The 22,621-nt window shown below is 42.0% G+C and overlaps 1 protein-coding gene across 1 annotated transcript in view; it reads left to right on the forward strand.

The window, feature by feature from the left end:
* ITIH2 (inter-alpha-trypsin inhibitor heavy chain 2) overlaps positions 1 to 22,621 on the forward strand; it is a 46,205-nt gene that overhangs the window by 22,286 nt on the left and 1,298 nt on the right. The window contains exons 10-20 of the mRNA NM_002216.3: positions 1,349 to 1,517; positions 2,102 to 2,227; positions 4,351 to 4,532; positions 6,210 to 6,395; positions 6,737 to 6,876; positions 9,321 to 9,490; positions 13,020 to 13,157; positions 17,545 to 17,658; positions 18,481 to 18,679; positions 19,190 to 19,362; positions 20,992 to 21,103. Of these exons, the coding sequence (NP_002207.2) occupies positions 1,349 to 1,517; positions 2,102 to 2,227; positions 4,351 to 4,532; positions 6,210 to 6,395; positions 6,737 to 6,876; positions 9,321 to 9,490; positions 13,020 to 13,157; positions 17,545 to 17,658; positions 18,481 to 18,679; positions 19,190 to 19,362; positions 20,992 to 21,103 (1,709 nt within the window). The remainder of the gene's footprint in view (positions 1 to 1,348; positions 1,518 to 2,101; positions 2,228 to 4,350; positions 4,533 to 6,209; positions 6,396 to 6,736; positions 6,877 to 9,320; positions 9,491 to 13,019; positions 13,158 to 17,544; positions 17,659 to 18,480; positions 18,680 to 19,189; positions 19,363 to 20,991; positions 21,104 to 22,621) is intronic.

The raw sequence follows: 22,621 nt of genomic DNA on the forward strand, positions 1-22,621 counted from the left end.
TGACTAGAAGGATGAAGTGGCCATCCATGAGTTGACAAAGACAGAAATGTAATCAGACATTGCAGGGAATGTCCCAGTTTGGTTTTGGATGCAAAGTCTGAGATTTCTATTAAGTACCCACGTTGGCCATGGAAGCGTGGTGTTCAAAAGTGAGATGTGGAGACACACAGTTAGGACTCCCCAGCATATAGAAGGTACTGTCAGCATTGGGACTAGGTGAGAATGCCGAGGAGTAGATGGACAAGGGAGCCAAGATCAGACAACAGAGCATTCCAATATTGGGAATTTGGGAAGAAGAGGATAATTGGTGATAGAGACTAATAAAAACAATTAGTAAGTGGGGGAGAAAAATCAAGAGAGAATGAGGCCCTGGAAGACAATTGAGGAATTTGTGTTCAGGAGGGAGATGAGAGCACTTGCCGGTGCATGAGAAATGAAGATGGACCTTTGGATTTAGTGACATTAGCATCATTGGTGACCTTGACAAGGGCAGTTTCAGTAGAGTGACAGGGATGAAAACCCGAAAGGATTGGGCTTATGAGAGAATAGGAAGAGAAGATTTGGAGACAGTGTGTTTAGACAATTCCTCAAGGAATTTTATTGCAGAAGAAAGCTGAGAAATGAAGAAAGTGGATGCACATGAGGTTTGTAGAAGGGTGAGAAATAACATGTTTTTGTTGATGGAAATGTACCAATAGAATAGGGAAATTGAAGAGGCAAAGGACAATTGCTGGAGCCATGATCTTTAGTCAAAGAGAGGGAATGAAATAGTTCATGAATAGATGGGTTTGCATTAGGTAGAAATACTGCTAGTTGTTCTTTATTATCAGGTAGGAAAGAAAAATGTATGGGTACAAATATTGATGGTTGGGATTTTATGGTAGTGGGAGTCTGTGGGAATGTTCTTCTGTCTGCTGCAGTTTCTCAGTGGAGTTGGAATCAAAATCATCACACGTAAGCTAGAGAAAGAGGGTGATGGTGGTGGTTTAAAGAGAAAGATGAGGAAATAGTTTAAGAGACTGGGTGAGTAGATGGACTTGAGAAATGTATTTTATTTTCAGGCATCATAAAGGTGGCACTCGAAGTTTGTGATCCTTAACATAAAGACTAGTCAAACTGGTTGTGCATAGCAAAATAGATAGTAAAATTATCAAAAAGCCAACAGTACATGCCCAGAATAAATAAGGGGCAGGTCTGCATTGACTGAGGTGGGCTCAAGAGGTTTTCTGGAAGAAGTTTAGCTTGAGAAGAACTTGAAAGATGACCAGGATCAATGATTGGTCTTCCTAGTTCCTCTGAGGCTCAGATTTTCTGTAATGGGACCTGTCTTTATTCTCTATTGAAATAGACTGTGGAAGCAATGAAGACCATATTGGATGACCTCAGAGCAGAAGACCATTTCTCTGTGATTGATTTCAACCAGAACATTCGAACTTGGAGAAATGATTTAATTTCAGCTACAAAAACACAGGTTGCAGATGCCAAGAGGTATATTGAGAAAATCCAGCCCAGTGGAGGTGAGTGTGTTGGGCTAAATCCCAAGGAGACACTTCCTCTGGGTTCAAATCATGATTCACTTAAGAAGCATTATTCCCATCACAGTGGTCTTTCCCCAGCATTCGAGGGCCTATCTTAAATAATACATTTATTGGTAATGGATGAATGCTAAGTTTGTAGTGAAAGTAGAATTTGTAATACAGCCCACATAAGCTTTGAACCGTTTTAATGTCTCTCAGAAAAAGGTTCAGTGACACTGGCCTTCTTTATTGCCTGCATAAAGCATAAAATGTTACTATCTTCAGAGTATCTTGGCAAGGCTGATTTGGATACTTTAATCTGGTGTTTAACAAGCTAACAGTCTGTGCTTTGAAAGGGCTAGTTCATCTCTAAGGGGATAGTTTATTTCAAAGTGAATATTTCACTGCACTGGGGGACCACCAGCTTGAGCACAGTTTGTGTCACTCAGAAAGCAATGAAATGATTTTGGCATGGAATAAGTGATGGATAAGTGATCAGCCGACATATGAGTCTGAATCCAGAATGGGATTTTCTGCGTGTGGCGAGAACGCATACCCAACGTTTCATTATGCTACTTCAACAGGCACAAACATCAACGAAGCACTCCTACGGGCAATCTTCATTTTGAATGAAGCCAATAACTTGGGACTGTTAGACCCCAACTCCGTCTCGCTGATCATTTTGGTTTCTGATGGAGATCCAACAGTGGGCAAGTGTCACTTCAACCTTCTCACGACAAACACTTTCACTGTTGTTTCTTGGAATGGTGGTTTGCCTAAAAGGGGAACTCTAATGGCATTTGCCTGAGTTTCTAGAACATTTTAAACCCATGCTTCCTAAAGGAGGTCTTCTGATCCTGCAGCCCTCACCCCTTAAGCTACTGCTCAGACACTTTCAGCAAGGGCGCTCTTGAATGCCTCAGTTCCACCTCCACAATATGCAGAAATCTGAGTCTGAATTTTAATAGTATGTTGTGAGGATTGCTGATGCATTCTAGGGAAATGCATCTATTTCCTCAACTTGAGGTATGTGAAGATGGTGTATGGGGGTGGTGAATGATGAGTATTGATCCCAGATCTCCCAGCAGTACCTTTGGAGGCCACAGTAGCATATTCCCTATTATTCTCCACACTTCTCCCGGTTGCACCTGGAGAAATGACTGCTCTCTGACACAACCTTGAAGTTAAACATTTTTCTTTCTACAAAATGGGCAGCAACATCTCCCTACTTCTATTATTTATTTTTATTTTTGTTACATTAGTTTATTTTATTTATTTTTGAAGACAGGGTCTTGCTCTGTCACCCAGGAGGGAGTGCAGTGGAGCACACACAGCTCACTGCAGCCTCAACCTCCCATGCTCAAGTGATCCTCCTACCTCAGCCTCCTGAGTAGCTGGGACTACAGGTGTGCACCACCACACTCAGCTAATTTCTTTTTTTTCTTTCTTTTTTTTTTTGGAGAGACGAAGTCTCACTATGTTGCTCAGGCTGATCTCAAAATCCTGGGCTCAAGCAGTCCTCCCACCTCGGACTCCCAAAATGTTGAGATTACAGGTGTGAGCCACTGTGCCAAGCTATCTTTGTTTTACTTGTGTCTTTATTCTGGCCACTGTAAGTAATAGCGAATGCCAGATTGTGTTGCCTGAGTGTGCTGTCGTACAGACTAGGACCGAGTCTAACACGTCCTGACACAGCCAAGCAGAATGAAAATGCACGAGGCAAAAACAATGGCAGTCAGAGCTTTAGAAAGCCAGAGAGCAACCATCTTATTAATAACGAGACTAGAATGAGCCAGTGTTATGTATTTGTTGTAGAGCCAATGTTTTCTCCCTCAGATCAGATTATTTTCAAAATTCAAGTTTTGAATGAAATCATAAGGTGGAAAAGGAAATATAGTTTAAAATATTAAACTTGCCAGGCATGGTGGCTCACACCTGTAATCCCAGCACTTTGGGAGGCTGAGGTGGGTGGATCACCTGAGGTCAGGAATTCAAGACCAGCCTGGCCAACATGGTGAAACCCCATCTCTACTAAAAATACAAAATTAGCCTGACAGGGCGGCGTGTGCCTGTAATCCCAGCTATTCGGGAGGCTGAGACAGGAGAATCCCTTGAACCCAGGAGGCGGAGGTTGCAGTGAGCTGAGATCGTGCCACTGCACTCCAGCCTGGGCAACAAAGTGAGACTCTGTCTCAAAAAAAAAAACAAAATTAAACCATAATTTGGTTTAATCATGGTTTCTCACTCCTGTTTCTCAACCATTCAGTTCCTGTCCCTGGAATCAGTCACTGGTTACCAGTTTCTTGTGTATCTTTCCACAAATAGTTTATGCATGCCTGTATACTATATATACATGTTTGCACACATGTATGTGTATATGCATACATACACATACATACATTTATACATGCATGCATGCAAATGCATCCTAGGTACCCTGATATTTACCTTGTTTTTTTTTTCTCCTCTAAACATGCCCTTGAGATTGTCTGGTATACATACATAAGGAGTTTCCATGTCCTTTTTAATAGCTGCATAGTATCTCACGGTTTAAATGTATCATCATCTAACCAAGCGCCCTCATTGGTGCATATTTATGTTGTTTCCAATATGTTGCTAATTCCCAAATAATGTTGCTATGCAACACAACCCACACTTCATTTCAACATGTACGAGTGCATCTCTAAGAAAAACTAGAAATTGAGTTACTGGGTCAAAAGGGAAATGCAGTTTTAATCTGGACACACTTTACTAAACTGCCCTCCCTGGATTTTCCAGAAAATTTATGATATTGCTTCTTCATTCCTTTCCTTTCGGACATCACCAACTTTAGGCGAACTAAAACTGTCAAAAATTCAGAAAAACGTTAAGGAGAACATCCAAGACAATATCTCCTTGTTCAGTTTGGGCATGGGATTTGATGTGGACTATGATTTTTTGAAGAGACTGTCCAATGAAAACCATGGAATTGCACAAAGGATTTATGGAAACCAGGACACGTCTTCCCAGCTTAAGGTAACATTTTCTTCTGTTCTTTTTTTATTCTTCACTGGAAATCATTTAACTACCCATATCTGATGCAGGTATGATGCATAACTGAACTTAACTCAAAATGGTCATGATCTCAGCCATATTTGGTTGCAAGGATCAGGGAAGTGCCCAGTTCCTTTCTCACATGTTTCCCCCCACCCTCATATTTCTGCAGTAACAGTGAGGTATGAGGCAGATGGGTGTTGGGAACAGCTGTCCTACCCCCTGAACAAAAAGGCCTTCTGAGCGTCATCAAAGCTCCTTGTAGCTCTCCTGCCCCACCAGCAATTGGTCTTCTTATCATCATGGCCAACCGTTTTCTCTTTAACGTGCATTGGCATCTTGGTATCAATTTTTCACAGTGTAAATTTTCTTAAGTATTAAGATACAGGCTGAGTGTGGTGGCTCATGCCTGTAATCCCAGCTCTTTGGAGGCCAAGGTGGGAGGATCACTCGAGCCCAGAGGTTTAAGGCCAGCTTGGGCAACATAGTGAGATCCATCTGTTCAACAGATAATTTTTTTAATTAAAATACATATATTGAAAAGACACAAACTACTTGTTTGTTTTGATTAAATAGATGAGAAAATGATGTAGGGAAAGAACATGTTTTTCCCTGCTCTTTGTCAGTACCAGGCATCGTATTTAAATTTGGGAACAAGTAAGAGATAAGATTCTGATTTGGGGACTATTAACCCAGCTGACTTTTGTAAAAATTTAATTATTACTATTATTTTTTGAGACAGAGTCTTGCTTTGTCACCCAGGCTGGGTGACAAGTACGTTCAATGGCAGTGCAATGGTGTGGTGCAGTGGTTCAGGAGTGCAGTGCTGCGATCTCGGCTCACTGCAACCTCCGCCTCCTGGGTTCAGGCGATTCTCGCACCTCAGTCTCCTGAGTAGCCAGGATTACAGGCATGTGCCACCAGGCCCGGCTAATTTTTGTATTTTTAGAAGAGACAGGGTTTACCATGTTGGCGAGGCTGGTCTCAAACTCCTGAACTCAGGTGATCCGCCTGCCTTGGCCTCCCAAAGTGCTGGGATTACAGGTCAAGCCACCATGCCCGACCTCCTGCTGACTTTTATCATAAGTTTGTCCAAGAGTTTTTCACGCTGACCGTAACAGAAAGGGAAAAAAATGCCAGGCTCTTAAACCAAAGGTAATGTTCTCAACAAGTCTTTGTCTTCTCTCTGTTTTTAATCTGATAATTACGAGCATTTTCCCTTGTCCCAAACGTCCTGTGTGAATAAATTAAGAGGTATCTGCTGATTCTTTGAAGAATCTCAGAGTAAAATGTTTTAGATCAGCTGGGCGTAATCCCTGTAATCCCAGCACTTTGGGAGGCCCAGGCAGGCAGATCACAAGACAGAAGTTCAAGACCAGCCTGGCCAAGATGGTGAAAACCCGTCTCTACTAAAAATACAAAAATTAGCCGGGCTTGGTGGCGGGTGCCCGTAATCCCAGCTACTTGTGGGGCTGAGGTGGGATAATTGCTTGAACCCAGGAGCCGGAGATTGCAGTGAGACGAGATCCCACCACTGCACTCCAGCCTGGGCAACAGAGTGAGACATCGTCTCAAAATAAATAAATAAATAAAATAAAATGCTTTAGATCTACAAAGCAGTAGGAACATAATTTCTCTCTCTCTCTCTGTGAATTGTAGAAATTCTACAACCAGGTCTCCACTCCATTGCTCCGGAATGTTCAGTTCAACTATCCCCATACATCAGTCACGGACGTCACTCAAAACAATTTCCATAACTACTTTGGAGGCTCAGAGATTGTGGTGGCAGGAAAATTTGACCCTGCTAAATTGGATCAAATAGAGAGCGTTATCACGGCGACTTCGGTACTTCCACTTATCCATTTATTCTATCTACTAACTGACCCCCTAGATACAGTCCCTCTTGAATGTCAGCTCTGCCTGCCTGGAATCATGGGTGTAGAACAGAAGCAATCAGTGATGGAGAAGGCATGAGAATATCTCTGCCATCTTCCCAGCTATTCCATAAATCCTGACCTTTTCACCCAAGCCCAATCCCAAGCACAGGAATGCATTTCCTTCCTCCGTAGGCTTTGCCTTCCATTTCTTTTTTATTCCCATTCATTCGCAGCAGGTACTAAAAATGTGAATCAATGAACTATAATTCTGTTACCCAGTGTCTCTCAACTGAACCTTCCATCATCTAGGCTAACACGCAGTTAGTCTTGGAGACCCTGGCCCAGATGGACGACTTGCAGGATTTTCTATCGAAAGACAAGCATGCAGATCCCGATTTCACCAGGAAACTGTGGGCCTATCTAACCATCAACCAACTGCTAGCTGAACGGTAAGAAGAGAAGAGTACCCACACCACGAGATCTGCAAAACTGAAATGTCCACCGTGAATATATGAAGTCATACACAAAAAGAGTTTGGAAGCAAGAAAGACAGCACATTAGCACAGGCTTGGATTATTACCTTCCACTAGTTCTGAACACTTCAGAGAAAGCTGGGTTCACTCTTTTTCTTCTTTATTGAGGTATAACATACAGTAAAGTATGCAAAATGCATTAATTTTTTAATTTTTATTTTATTTATTTATTTTTATTTTTTTTGAGGCAGAGTCTCGCTCTGTCTCCCAGGCTGGAGTGCAGTGACGCCATCTCAGCTCACTGCAAGCTCCGCCTCCCGGGTTCACACCATTCTCCTGCCTCAGCCTCCTGAGTAGCTGGGATTACTGGTGCCCACCACCACGCCCAGCTAATTTTTTTGTATTTTAGTAGAGACGGGGTTTCACCATGTTAGCCAGGATGGTCTCGGTCTCCTGACCTCGTGATCCACCCGAGTGGGCCTCCCAAAGTACTGGGATTACAGGCATGAGCCACCGCACCCGGCCAAAATGCATTAATTTTAAGTGCACCATTCAATGGATTTTTATATCTATCATCCGTGTAATCACCACCCAGATCCAGATGTAGGTTCCCTTGTTCTCCCTCAACACCCACCCCCCTCCTCCACTGTAACCACTCTTTCAATGTCTGTGATCATCAGTTTTGCCTGATCCTAAATTTCACATAATCATGCAATCTGTATTCCTCTGTTCCTGGCTTCTTTCACTCAATATGATGTTGGTGAGATTCATCCATGTTGCTTCATGTATCAGGCATGTATTTGCATTTACTGTCTCGATCTCCTGACCTCATGACCCGCCTGCCTCGGCTTCCTAATGTGCTGGGATTACAGGCATGAGCCACTGCACCCAGCCCTGCATTTACTCTTGAAAATGGCTTCTTGTCCAAAGAGAAATTGATGATTATTAACGATTATGGTGTTCCCTAAGGAAGGGCTCCCCTATGCTCATCTATGTCCCCTCTGGTTGCTTCATGTATCAGTAATTTATTTGCATTTACTCTTGAAAACGGCTTCTTGTCCAAAGAGAATTTAATGATTATGTGATTATGATGTTCCCTAAGGAAGGGCTCCCCCATGCTCATCCATGGCCCCTCTGACTTCTCAGCTGAGCTGCATCTCAACTCTCCAACATGAAAACTATATCCCCAGAGCAATGGATGGTTGACCACCTGCATCAAAATTACACAGAGGTGTTTGATAAAAGTTCCCATTCCCAAGCCTCATTCTGTCTATAAGACAGGATTCTCAGGAAGGTGGAACAGGGTCTAAATGAGGCTGGGAAAATGAAATGCAGTTGTATGACTGAACTCATAGAGAAAATCCCTGATGTCAATAAGGTTAGAAGAAATACGCAAGGCTGTAAACTATGACTGTGAAGTAAACGAGAAATAGCTCCCTCTCTGACAGAAGCACACTAGATGTATTTACAGGTATATAGCAAATTGTTGCAGAAGTTAAATATTGATTTTAAAACAATTCCTATAAAAAGATCAGCAGTTGCTAAAGGTTGGGGAGTGGGAGATACGTGAGTAGGTGGAGCACAGAGCATTTTTATGGCAGTGAAAATACCCTATATGATACTCCAATGGTGGACACCTGTCATTATGCATTTAACCAAACCCATAGAATGTACAACACCAAGGGTCAGCCACGTTAACTGTGGACTCTGCGTGATAATGATGTGTCAGCTTCTTCCATTGTAACAAATGCACCACTCTGATGTGGGATGGATGTTGATAGTGGGGAAGGCCGTGTATATGGGGGACCGTGTGTATGCAGTGGAGACATAGAAAATCTTGATACCTTCTGCATAATTTTACTGTGAACCTAAAACTGCTCTAAAGTATAAAGTTTTAAAAAAATGCCTTGGGAGCCAGATGCATGGCTCATGCCTGTAATCCCAGCACTTTGGGAGGCCAAGGCGTGTGGATCGCTTGAGTCCAAGAGTTTGAGACCAGCCTGGGCAACATGGCAAAAGCCCATCTCTACAAAAAATACAAGAATTAGTAGGGTGTGGTGGCATGTGCCTGTAGTCTCAGCTACTCAGGAGGCTGAGGGAGGAGGATCTCTTGAGCCCAGGAGGTTGAGGCTGCAGAGAACCGTGATTGTGCCACTGCACTCCAGCCTGGGCAACAGGGCGAGACCTTGTCTCAAAAATAATAATGATAATAAATAAGTAAATAAATAATGCCTTGGGACTTAGCCAGATAAAATACTCAGCTTCTCGAAGCCAGTGAGTTCTGTTTCCCAGTTACTTTGCGGCTCCGCCCCACCCCCAGGTTGGACCCCAGCAGTGGTGGGGTGCAGGGTCAGGGAGCTGACTTGCGCTCCCCCTCCAATGCAGCCATGCTCCATAACACCTCTACTTCTTGAATACAGAAGCCTGGCTCCTACAGCTGCCGCCAAGAGAAGAATTACAAGATCGATCCTGCAGATGTCTCTAGACCACCACATTGTGACTCCGCTGACCTCGCTGGTGATCGAGAACGAGGCTGGGGATGAGCGCATGCTGGCGGATGCCCCACCGCAGGATCCCTCCTGCTGCTCAGGTCAGGGCTGCACCTGTGGGGACAAGTGGCCAGGCAGCTCTCTTGCCCCGGGGGTGGGCGAAGTCCTAGTGCCTCCGCTCTCTCCCACCCCAGCCCACCTCTTGCTCCCAGCCCTGGGCCCTCCTGTGCCCAAGCTCTTCCTGCCAGCTGGGAGGAGGATGGATTATTGCTGTGGTCGTTGACCATTTTGCTCACAAGTTTCCCAAAGGAACTTTTGAAAACCTGCGTACCCCTTCCAACATTTTTGACATCAATATTTGAAATTTTTTATCTTAGCCTGGGCAACATAGCGAGACCCCATCTCTAAAGAAAAGTTTTTTTTCATTAGCTGGGTGTGATGGTGGGCACCTGTAATCTCACCTGTTTGGAAAGCTGAGGCAGGAGGATCTCTCGAGCCCAGGAGGACCACTGCACTCCCGCCTCCTGGGGGTGCCATCACATCTCACTGCAACCTCCAATTCCTGGACAACAAATACAATTTCTATATGCAACTAACATAATCATAGTATTTTATAAATATTGACCTTTTAAAATAAAACTGTCACATCACTGTTTTCTTTTTCTTTTCTTTTCTTTTCTTTTCTTTTTTTTTTTTTTTTGAGACAGAGTCTTGCTCTGTTTACCAGGCTGGAGCACAATGGCACGATCTCAGCTCCCTGCAACCTCAGCCTCCCAGGTTCAAGCAATTCTCCTGCTTCAGCCTCCCAAGTAGCTGGGATTACAGGCATGTGCCACCACGCCCAGCTAATTTTTTGTATTTTAGTAGAGACGGGGTTTTACCATGTTGGCCAGGCTGGTCTCGAACTCCTGACCTCAGGCGATCCACTTGCCTTGGCCTCCCAAAGTGCTGGGGTTACAGGCGTGAGCCACCGTGCCTGACCATATCACTGTTTTCAATACATCTAATAAAACAGAATACTTAATTGGTTACTCACTATCACTCATTTTTAAAAAATACATAAGCAAATCCTATATTACAATTACTAGAACCTGGCCAGTCATGGTGGCTCATGCCTATAATCCCAGCACTTTGGGAGGCTGGAGTGGGTTAATTGCTTGAGCCTATGAACATGAGACGAGCCTGGTCAACATAGCAAAACCCCATCTTTAGAAAAAAATACTAAAATTAGCCAGCCATGGTGGCACATGCCCATAGTCCCAAATACTCAGGAGGCTGAGGCGGGAGGATTGCTTGAGCCTGGAAGGTGAAGGTTGCAGTGAGCCAATCACACCACTGCACTCCAGCCTGAGTAACAGAATAAGACCTTGTCTCGAAAAAAAATTATTGGAAGTTTTATATTATTCTTTTTTCTAGTTGAACTTGTATTTCCACTCCACTTGCCCAGCAGAACTATATCCTATTGTAATATATTTTTATGCTTATTTTAGTAATCACCTCACTTATCTATAAGAAAAAAAGTTTATACATTTTAATTTTAATTAAGAATTTAATTTAAAAATCATAACCATAAGATTCTGAGTATTCAAAATTCCCTTCTGAACCTGGTCTGATTAATATTACTACTAGTAGCCAAGTGAGCAAAATAATATAAATAGATTATAAATTTGTTTACAAATAAGAAGTAAAACTGGAGTGGAAATAATCTATAATCTCTTACTGGGAAAAATGTGACTGTTTTTCATGTATTCATGGGTAAGTATTATTTACGAATGGATTGAAAGAGACAGGATTCGGCATCAATTCTACTTTTAAGAGAACTTGTATGGGCAGAAGTCCTGATAAATATTGGTTGGTATAGACAAGTGGATAGAAATGGCAAGTGTCTGGTTATATTCAGTTACTCGCTTATCTGAACTCTTTCATATTATATGCCAAAACATGCATACAGACCTAGCGTCCAAAAAATTTTGTATAATTTATCAGCTGACAATGTGAGCCCTTCTTCAATTTTGTTGAAAGCAAAGAATTGGAAGCCCTGTGGTTTGTACAAGCACTTGCTCCCAATCATTGGAATCAGGTTTCTTGCCCTACACCAGTATTCCAATGGATGTTTTGCTTCCTGGAGGACTCTGGGGGAGGGGAGTAGACAAGAACTGGCCTTCTGCTTGTAAACTAGGAGAAAAGGCTTTCTTTAGGAACGAGTCTGTGTCTAAACTGAGACTCTAGAAATTGCCTTTCAAACAGTCCATGCTCTCTGAGTCCTGCAGAAAGTATCCAGGCACCCCCGAGGGTGCACACACCCAGGGCTAGGAGACCTCAGGTTTATACGTCTCTTTCTTTTCTCTTTCTTGGGGACTGGTTCTACCGAAACATATATACATATATGATATATACACACACGTGTATATATCTCATATATATATATATATATATACACGTGTATATATATATATAACAGATAACGTATAATTATAATTATATTATCTGTAATATATAATTATATATATTTTGTATTCTATATATTATATACTATGTATTCTATATAATATATATTATGTATTCTATATAATATTATATATTAAATTCTATATTCTATATTATATTCTATATTCTATAGAATATTCTATATTATATTCTATATTCTATAGAATATTCTATATTATATTCTATATTATATTCTATATTTTCTATATTATATTCTATATAATATTCTATATTATATTCTATATAATATTCTATATTATATTCTATATAATATTCTATATTATATTCTATATAATATTCTATATTATATTCTATATAATATTCTATATTATATTCTATATAATATTCTATATTATATTCTATATATTATATATTATATTCTATATATTATATATTATATTCTATATATTATATATTATATTCTATATATTATATATTATATTCTATATATTATATATTATATTCTATATATTATATATTATATTCTATATATTATATATTATATTCTATATATTATATATTATATTCTATATATTATATATTATATTCTATATATTATATATTATATTCTATATATTATATATTATATTCTATATATTATATATTATATTCTATATATTATATATTATATTCTATATATTATATATTATATTCTATATATTATATATTATATTCTATATATTATATATTATATTCTATATATTATATATTATATTCTATAAAATATTATATATTATATTCTATATAATATTATATATTATATTCTATATAATATTATATATTATATTCTATATAATATTATATATTATATTCTATATAATATTATATATTATATTCTGGGCCTTCTCCCAGACTTCGCTCCCCGGCCTGCACTGGAGTCACGGGGCCCTTCCCCGGCCCTATAAAGCGGTTCCTCCCACTGCCACCCTTGCTCAGGTTCCAGACTCCAGAGAGAACTGTATCACAGGCCTCCTCCCTCAGCAACATGACAGAGGGAGCCCGAGAGAACTCTGGAATAAAAACAGAGGAGAAAAACCTAAGCTGACAATACCTGGGGGTGCATAAAACAGATTCTTGACATGGTGAGCAATTTCCGTGGAAACGTAAATCTAGAAACTAACAGATGCAGGTTTGTCTACGCAGGGGCCCTGTATTACGGCAGCAAAGTGGTTCCAGATTCCACCCCGTCTTGGGCCAATCCTTCACCAACGCCCGTGATCTCCATGCTGGCACAAGGATCTCAGGTGCTAGAGTCCACGCCACCCCCACATGTGATGAGAGGTAACGCTTCTACACTGCTTGCACGTCCCAGAACTCAGCCGACCATAATCCTGGGAAGCATTGTGTGCATGAGGCCAGGTGCAGCGGCTCACGCCTGTAATCGCAGCACTTTGGGAGGCCAAGGCAGGCAGATCACCTGTTTTTCTATAGAAATACAGCTTATTTTGTTTGTTTTTAATCATGTATTTACAGAATCCTAGTTTTGTTCAGTCTTTAAAAAAACCTTTCTGCAAACAGTTTCAGTGGGAGGTTTGGGTAGTAGCTGTGGTCATGCCAGGAAAATGTATTTCTTTGTGAGAGTTTTGGTGGCTGTGGCTTCCTTGTGTAGTCGCAGACTTCTTTGCCCTCCGTTGTCAATTTCTTTGCCTTTCCATTGACAACCTCTCTGGCATCTTCTCCCACAGCATGTGAGACGGGGAGCTGCCCCGGGGAAATGGGAGGGAGAGCGTCTCCTCTCCTGTTCCCAGCTCCTTGCGTTGCAGCCTTCACCCACAGAGATCACAGCTGCTGGCAGTTAGCTAGTTCATCTAGAAAACCTGTGTGCAGCTTTTCTTTCCTTACTTTCCTTTTGATTAGAAAAAAGTAAATTTCAACATTCAAAGACAGAGCACATCCCTCTCCCTGAAGGAAGGTGCAAAGTCCCAGCCTGACTTGAGTGTTTGAAATTTAGAAGGGTGGCTCCTGTTGGTCCTAGAATTGTGCGGCTTTCTTGACTGCCTGGAATACAGACCTTTCCATCAGGAAAGCCTCAAAGCTGGTTCTCCAGGTTGTATGCCTAGCACATACCAAATACCATGTTGTAGCAGAGAAAACTTAGCAAGGACTTTGAATGGACATTTAATGTTATTTCAGGCAAGGCCCATGGCTCACACTTGTAATCCCAGCACTTTTGGAGGCTCAGGTGGGAGAGGATTGCTTGAGGCCAGGAGTTTGAGACCAGCAAAAAAAACAAAAACAAAAACAAAAAAACCCTTTTCAAAAAATTAGCCAGGCATAGTGGTGCACCTGTAGTCCCAGCTACTCAAGAGGTTGAGGTGGGAGGTTTGCCTGAGCCCAGAAGTTCAACGTTGCAGTGAGCTATCATTGCGCCACTACATTCCAGCCTGGGTGACAGAGGGAGACCCTGTTTCAAAAAATAAAGTAGGGACCGGGCACGGTGGCTTACGCCTGTAATCCCAGCACTTTGGGAGGCCGAGGAGGGCAGATCACTTGAGGTCAGGAGTTCGAATCCAGCCTGGCCAACAGGGGGAAACCCTGTCTGTACTGAAAATACAAAAATTAGCCGGGCATGGTGGCAGGTGCCTGTAATCCCAGCTACTCGGGAGGCTTAGGCAGGAGAATTGCTTGCACCTGGGAGGCGGAGGTTGTAGTGAGCTGAGATCATGCCACTGCACTCCAGCCTGGGCGACAGAGCAAGACTCTGTCTCAAAATAAAATAGGATAAGATAAAACAGGGTGATAAAATAGTAACTTCATCTCACCCTTAGGGCTTATCTCTAAAATTATTATTTTGGGGCCACAAGTAACTTGCTCCTTCACCTCCATTGCTGGTAGCACTTTGTACAACACTCCCGTCTCCTACCCCAGCTCCATAGGGAGTCCCACGAACCATGCAGAAGTCTCAGTTAACAGCGGCAAACGTCTGCAGCCATGCATGAGTGGGGAATCCGTGCGTAAGTTGATCATGCTGGAGGAGCAGTTGCTTTTACTGTGCCTTTCTGACCAGCAGTTTCTGAGAGCCAGACACTACCATGACGCCCAGGGAGTGAGCTGCTTAAACTGTGGCTTTGCAAAATAAAGCTTTTGGAGAAAATTGTTGAGATCAAGTTAATTTACTTTTAAATATTCTTCCCATTTAAGACTGTAGTGCTTCTTCCAAGTTTCTCTTCTCTGTTGTATGATGTAGTGAAAAGGATGAGGACTTCAAAGTTAGACAGTCCTGGAGACACATCTGCCCCATGACCTTGTCCATACACTGAAATCTCCCTAGGGCTCAAGCAGCCCACCTCTAAAACGGGGATGATAATACCCTCCCTGCAGGGTGGATACAAGTTTCTCCTTCCTAGTAGAAGCTGTTATCACTGACCAGTGTTCTGCCCATGAACCTCAGGTGCTAGGAATCTATAACATTAGTCACGGAGGTCCTTGATCTACTTTCTGCCTGATCAAAATGTCAAGCTGTGCTGACTCATTTAAACATGATGCTTCGTTTCTGTTGTCTTGAATTATGTCAACTCAATATGGCAGCACAGATTCACTGTTGCCTATCAGAAGGTCTGATTGGCGGGATTTGAGCTAATTAAATGGCAAAACCAATCGTTGTCTTTAATAAAAGCAATTTTCTTCGAACAGAATATTTCAAACTACCATATTTGTGTAGAGGAAGAAAGAGGATATCATAATGATTGTTTAAGGTTTTTTTTTTTTTTTTTTTTTTGAGACAGAGTTTCACTCTTTTTGCCTAGGCTGGAGTGCAATGGCTCGATCTCGGCTCACTGCAACCTCTGCCTCCCGGGTTCAAGCAATTCTCCTGCCTCAGGCTCCAGAGTAGCTGGGATTACTGGTGCCCGCCACCACACCCGGCTAATTTTTTGTATTTTTAGTAGAGGCGGGGTTTCACTATGCTGGCCAGGCTGGTCTCGAATGCCTGACCTCGTGATCCACCCGCCTCAGCCTCCCAAAGTGCTGGGATTACAGGCGTGAGCCACCGCACCTGGCCTGTTCTGTGTTTTTACAATGCCCTGTAGTGTCTGGCTCCAAGAACAATCAACTAACCATGTATTTGTGGACTGCAGAGCATGAACCTGGAGGTGTGAACTGAACATTTCTGGCCTGAGTGACTGCTTTAGCCACTGCACAAGCTTCCTGTAACTCCTCTGCAAACTTTTAGTAACACTGCCACCAACAACTTTCCTAAAATGAGGGTCAAGTCACATTTATTCTCAGAAACCTTTAATAGCTGCTCAACAGAATAAAGGCCCATTCTTGGTGTTTCAGGGTCTCTGTGATCTCTACTTTTAGCTCTTTTTCTCTGCATTCTTCAAGAACCTGTCCTCTGGTCGCATTGAGTTATTTTCTAAAGAAATCATAAACTCTTCTACCTCCACTCCTTCCTCATTCTGTACACTCAGAATAAAATCTCTTCCTCCTTAGCCTTTTGTCTTTCCCCGCTGTCCTCTGACCTTAAAGACAGTTCAGAAGCCACCTCCTCCATTCAGCCTTGCTGTTTGCCTGGGGGGCACTAATCATTTTCATCTTCATTCTCACAGCATTTTACTTGAGCCACTATTGCACCATGTACTTCATTCTATCTTACATTCGTGATTATGTCTGCCCCTTGCACTAAAGTATTACTTTCTTGAAGTTACTGACCATGACTTATGTTTATAGTTAACACCAAACATTGCCAAATTTAGTGATTGCACATAGATTTTTTTTTTCCTTCACCAAGTATTTGTTGAATGGTTAAATGGGAAAGAGCGGGAGAGGGAGAGTGGGGATGGGGGAGCGGGAGGGGAGGGGAAGCAAGGAAGGATTATCTAAAATAATTAGGTTCAATAACAAAGGAGTACTTTCTTGGGAGTAGCTTGATTCTTCATTGCTTTTGGAATTGAATCATATTAATCTGTATGTCAACAATAATAGTGTGTCTCCTTTGTTTTCCTGCATTGTATATGGCTCCTTAAAAAATATATCTCCAGGCTGGGTGAGGCGGCTCACACCTTTAATCCCAGGACTTTGAGAGGCTGAGATGGGTGGATCACTTGAGTTCAGGAGTTTGACACTAGCCTGGGAAACAAAGTGAGACCCCCCATCTCTACAAAAAATACAAAACATTAGCTAGACATGGTGGCACATGGATGTTGCCCCAGCTACTCAGGAGGCTGAGCTGGGAGGATGACTTGAGCCTTGGAGGTCAAGGCTGCAGTGAGCCATGATTGCAACATTGCACTCCAGCCTGGGTGACAGAGGGAGATCCTGTCTCAAAAAACACCCAACTCTATTTTTCTGTCTACACACATATTCACACACGTGTATGTATGTTTCTTATATTTGTGGGTGCATATTTGTGTGTATTTCTTATTCCTTAAGTCTTTCTTATTCATTTTTTATCTCTAGTATCTAGTCTAGTGCATACATTTTTAGCTACAAAATAAATATCCACTATATTTGTAAAATAACATAGGGTTCTGAAGAAGGCTCCGTGACAAAGGGACAATGGAGTATGAACCACTGGGTCCCCAAGACCTGGAGGAGTACCGAGCATGTAGGAGAAGCACAATAAATATTTGTTCTGATTAAATTAAAGATGTTCAGGAATGACATAGTGCTCAAAATCATCTTCCTTTTAATGATTTTGTTTACGTTTTCTTTGTATATTTTCCAGTTGAAAATGACCCACATTTCATCATTTATCTACCAAAAAGCCAAAAGAACATTTGTTTCAATATTGACTCAGAACCTGGAAAAATCCTCAACCTGGTTTCTGACCCAGAATCAGGTAAAATAAAAATAAATTATATTTGCACCAATTAGGTCATTGTCATGCTTTCCTGTCACTGCCTGGGATTTCTTTCTTTCTCAGCTTAATAGAAGTTCTATATATTTCAGTGATATTAGTGAGAAATTAAATTATAAATATATTCTTAACTATTTTGAACCATTATAGTTCAAAATATATACTCTGAGTATGAACTTGCAGATCTTGTTGTGATATAATTAATTTAAATATGAGCCAGGAACGGTGGCTTACACATGCAATCCCAGCACTTTGGGAGGCCGAGGTGGGCGGATCATCTGAGGTCAAGAGTTCGAGACCAGCCTGGTCAAAATGATGAAACCCCACCCCCCACTACTAAAAATACAAAAACAATTACCCAGGCGTGGTGGTACACACCTGTAATCCCAGCTACTCAGGAGGCTGAGGCAGGAGAATTGCTTGAACCCGGGAGGTGGAGGTTGCAGTGAGCCAAGATCACACCATTGCGCTCCAGCCTGAGTGACAGAGTAAGACTCCGTCTCAAAAACAACAACAAAAAATTTAAATACTATATGATAGTCAATTATTTAAATTTTATAAACTGACAATTAAATTTTATAACTGATATAAAATTATTAAATTAAATTTTATTAAAATTTATAAATGTTATATTAACATGTTATAAAATGAGAATCACAAAGAAGAAAATGTTAATGTAAATCTTGAAGCAAAATTATAATAATTTTCCAATATTGCCAAGTTTTTATAAATTTGAATTATAGTACCCACACATGCAAAATAAATGGCACAGAAGAGAAAACATCATTTTTTTCTTTCCTGTAGGAATTGTAGTCAACGGTCAGCTTGTTGGTGCCAAGAAGCCCAACAATGGAAAACTAAGCACCTATTTTGGAAAACTGGGATTTTATTTCCAAAGTGAAGACATAAAAATAGAAATCAGCACTGAGACCATCACCCTGAGCCATGGTTCTAGCACATTCTCCTTGTCCTGGTCCGACACGGCTCAAGTCACGAATCAGAGGCAAGTATGATTCCATCTGAACTTGGGCCTGTCCGTGACACACGACTGCATAAATAAATCCAGGCATCAGTGACATCAACATTGAAAAAAAATCATCATTTTAAATATAAGGAAGTTGAGGTTCAGAAAAATTGTTCTCACTCCCTACTCTGTTCCTGGCAGTGGGCACTGTGTGTTTTTGGTCACCGTTGGGTCCCAGGACCTAGTCCAGTGCCTGGCATCAGTAAACACTCACTGTGTATGTGCTAATCAGTGAACAAATCCACCAGCTGAAATCCATACTGACTCTATCGCAGAGTGAGCTCCAAACGCCATGATTGTGTCCTCTGCGTAGAAGCTTCCCAATGAGTTTCTGTTAATCCATCATTTATCTATAAACTGTTGCAAGCGCTTAGATAACTAGCGGAATTGTCTGGGAGGAGTGAAGAGTTCATATTAGGGGTGAGAAGAATGACTTTCTCAAAAGGTCTGTTCTGGAATGGTTTAATTCCTCTTGGACTTTCACACCAGGGTGCAGATCTCAGTGAAGAAAGAAAAAGTGGTAACTATCACCCTGGATAAAGAGATGTCCTTTTCTGTTTTACTTCATCGTGTTTGGAAGAAGCATCCCGTCAATGTTGACTTTCTGGGAATCTACATACCCCCTACAAACAAGTTCTCACCTAAAGCCCACGGACTAATAGGTAAAGTGTCTATTGACCATCTGACAAGGGTGGGGCCGCTCTAATTCTTTAGCAGCTTTGGTTGACAGTGGTTACAAGTTGAGGACATGGCAGGTGTGGACTCATGAGCACAGAGGACTAACATAGCAGTGTGGGGTCGCTCGGGAATGTGACAGCCAGGACCTTTTGCCATTCCAGACAAGGTTGTCCAGGGCCAGGATTTCAGCATCACAAACTGGGCAAGTTAAGAGAAGGGACAGATACATTTTAAGTTTTATGTTAAAGATTTTTTTCTAACTGAAGCAAGATGAACCCATTTAGGAGGTCTGTGATAACAAGCAGAACACTCTGGACAAATGTCCCTAGTATTTTAAGAAGGGCTCAAATATAAAGCCTGTGACATCACAAACAAAACTTTTTCCTGTGATCTGAGCTATACTCTCAGGTGCTCACCTCATTCTCCTGCCATCAGGGTGCTCGATTTACTTACAATCCACTAGACCAACCTCATGTATAAAATGACCATGAGCTCCAGGCATGGTGGCTCGTGCCTGTAATCCCAGCACTTTAGGAGGCCTGGGCAGGTGGATTTGCTTGTGGAGTTCAAGGGCAGCCTGGGCACCCCATCTCTACCAAAAAATTAGAAAATAAAAATAATTAGCAGGGTATGGTGGAGCCTGCCTGGAGTCCCAGCTACTCAGGAAGCTGAGGTGGGATCTCTTGAGCCCCGGAATTGGAGGCTGCAGTGAGCTATGACTGTGCCACTGTGCTCCAGCCTGGGTGACAGAGGGAGACTCCATCTCTTAAATTAATTAATTCATTAATTTATGAGATGGAGTTTCTCTCTTGTTGCCCAGGCTGGAGCGCAGTGGCGCAATCTCGGCTCACCGCAACCGCTGCCTCCCCGGTTCATGCGATTCTCTTCCCTCAGCCTCCCGAGTAGCTGGGATTACAGGCATGCACCACCACGCCCAGCTAATTTTGTATTTTTAGTAGAGATGGGGTTTCTCCATGTTGGTCAGGCTGGTCTCAAACTCCCAACCTCAGGTGATCTGCCCACCTCGGCCTCCCAAAGTGCTGGGATTACAGGTGTGAGCCACCACACCCGGCCCCAAATCTTAAATTTAAAAAAAAAAAAAAAAAAAAAAAAAAAAAAAAGGCTGTGAGTAGTGGCTCACACCTGTAATCCCAGCACTTTGGGAGGCTGAGGTGGGTGGATCGCTTGAGTCCAGGAGTTCAAGATCAACCTGTGCAACACGGTGAAACCCTGTCTCTACAAAAAATTAGCCAGGCGTAGTGGCTCACGCCTGTGGTCCCAGCTACTTGGGAGGCTGAGGTGGGAAGAACACTTGAGCCCAGGAGGTGGAGGTTGCAGTGAGCCGAGATAGCACCACTGCACTCCAGCCTGGGCAACAGAGGGAGATCCTGCCTCAAATTAAAAAAATAAAAATAAAAAAAAGATGGTGAGCAGCACAAATGTGCTCCCAGGAAGGACCCTCCCTCCCATCACCACTCCTTTTTCCTCTCAGCTTGTCTTTCCACCCTAGAAATCCTGGAGGGAGGACCGAAAGGTAGCATGGAGTCAATAATGAGCCTCTTTTTATTTAACTATGATTACATGTCAATCAATGTCTGATTCTGTTTTGCTAGGCCAGTTCATGCAGGAACCAAAGATACACATCTTCAATGAGAGACCAGGAAAGGACCCTGAGAAGCCAGAGGCCAGCATGGAAGTGAAGGGGCAGAAGCTGATCATCACCAGGTAGGCCTCGGGCGTAAGGACAGTGACGAAAAGGCCTTGTGTTAGAATTAGACCCACACAGCAAAATAGAGGAGCAAAGAAGAAGTGTCGTAGGCACTACCTACATCACACTAAGCAGTTCATTAGGAATAGACGCACACAGCATTCGCATAAGGACACTTCTGATATCCCACGTTAAATGCAAATAATGACTGGGTATCTAGGGTCATGCAATGCCAAGATTAACTAACCTGTTGTTCTCATCTTCATACTTTAGAAGCCCTCACAAGAGCTTCACAAGTTGGATAACCAGACACGTTGATCAAAGGAGAGAATCATAAAACACCTATTACCATAGTGCTGCAGAATGAATGTAGATTTTTACATCAGGCTAGAGTTTTCCTTTTGCACAGGGATCTCTGACTGCTTTTTTTGTAGCTTTTCTTACACAAACCACCCCCATATGCTTCATCTGAAGTGAGAACTTAGACGCTCATAACGCATTCTGAGTGTAAAAGTCTTACAAATCTTGATATTTTTTCCCAGTCCTTTACAGTTGTCTCACCCATGCCAAATTTGATACCGTTTTAAAGCAGCTTACCCCTTTTTAGAGTTTTTACAAAGCAGCCAACTTTGCTTTATTAGAAAGGATTCTTCACGCCCACAAATGTCATTGGCTTTGACATACTTAATTAAACCATAACATTGTAACATAAAATTGTAGTCGGAAGTATTGCCACGAAAGTAGATTTGTGAACTGAAACAATGGATTCTTAGTGAATATGCCATTCAATTAGTATCAGTTTATGGGAGGAATGAGGTACCGACGGGAATCAGTGAGCATGTGTCACAGAAGCAATGGTGAGCACAAATTATTAATGTTAATAGTAAGTTATCTGAAGTTGGTAGAAGGGCATTTACTGCCAGGCATGGTGGCTCATGCCTGTAATCCCAATGCTTTGAGAGGCCAATGTGGGAGGATCACCTGAGACCAGGAGTTCAAGACCAGCCTGGGCAACATAGTAAGACTCCATCTCTACAAAAATAAAAATAAATATAAAAATAATTATCCAGGTGTAGTAGATTCTGCCTATAGCCCCAGCTACTCAGGAGGCTGAGGTGGGAGGATCCGTTGAACCCAGGAGTTCGAGGATGAAGTGACTTATGATTGTGCCTCTGCACTCCAGCTTGGGTAACAGAGAGAGACCTGTCTCATAAATAAATACATAATATATAAATAGGCCAGGCGCAGTGGCTCACGCCTGTAATCCCAGCACTTTGCAAGGCCTGGGTGGGTGGATAACCTGAGGTCAGGAGTTCAAGACCAACTTGCCAACATGTTGAAACCCCCCCCATCTCTACTAAAAATACAAAAATTAGCCGGGTGTGGTGGCGGGCGCCTGTATTCCCAGCTACTCGGGAGGCTGAGGTAGGATAATCACTTGAACCCGGAAGGCAGAGGTTGCAGTGAGCAGAGATAGCACCACTGCACTCCAGCCTGACTCCATCTCATAAAATATGTATATATATTTATATATA

This window comes from Homo sapiens, chromosome 10 (genome assembly GCF_000001405.40).
Source record: "Homo sapiens chromosome 10, GRCh38.p14 Primary Assembly".
Classification (NCBI taxonomy): domain Eukaryota; kingdom Metazoa; phylum Chordata; class Mammalia; order Primates; family Hominidae; genus Homo; species Homo sapiens.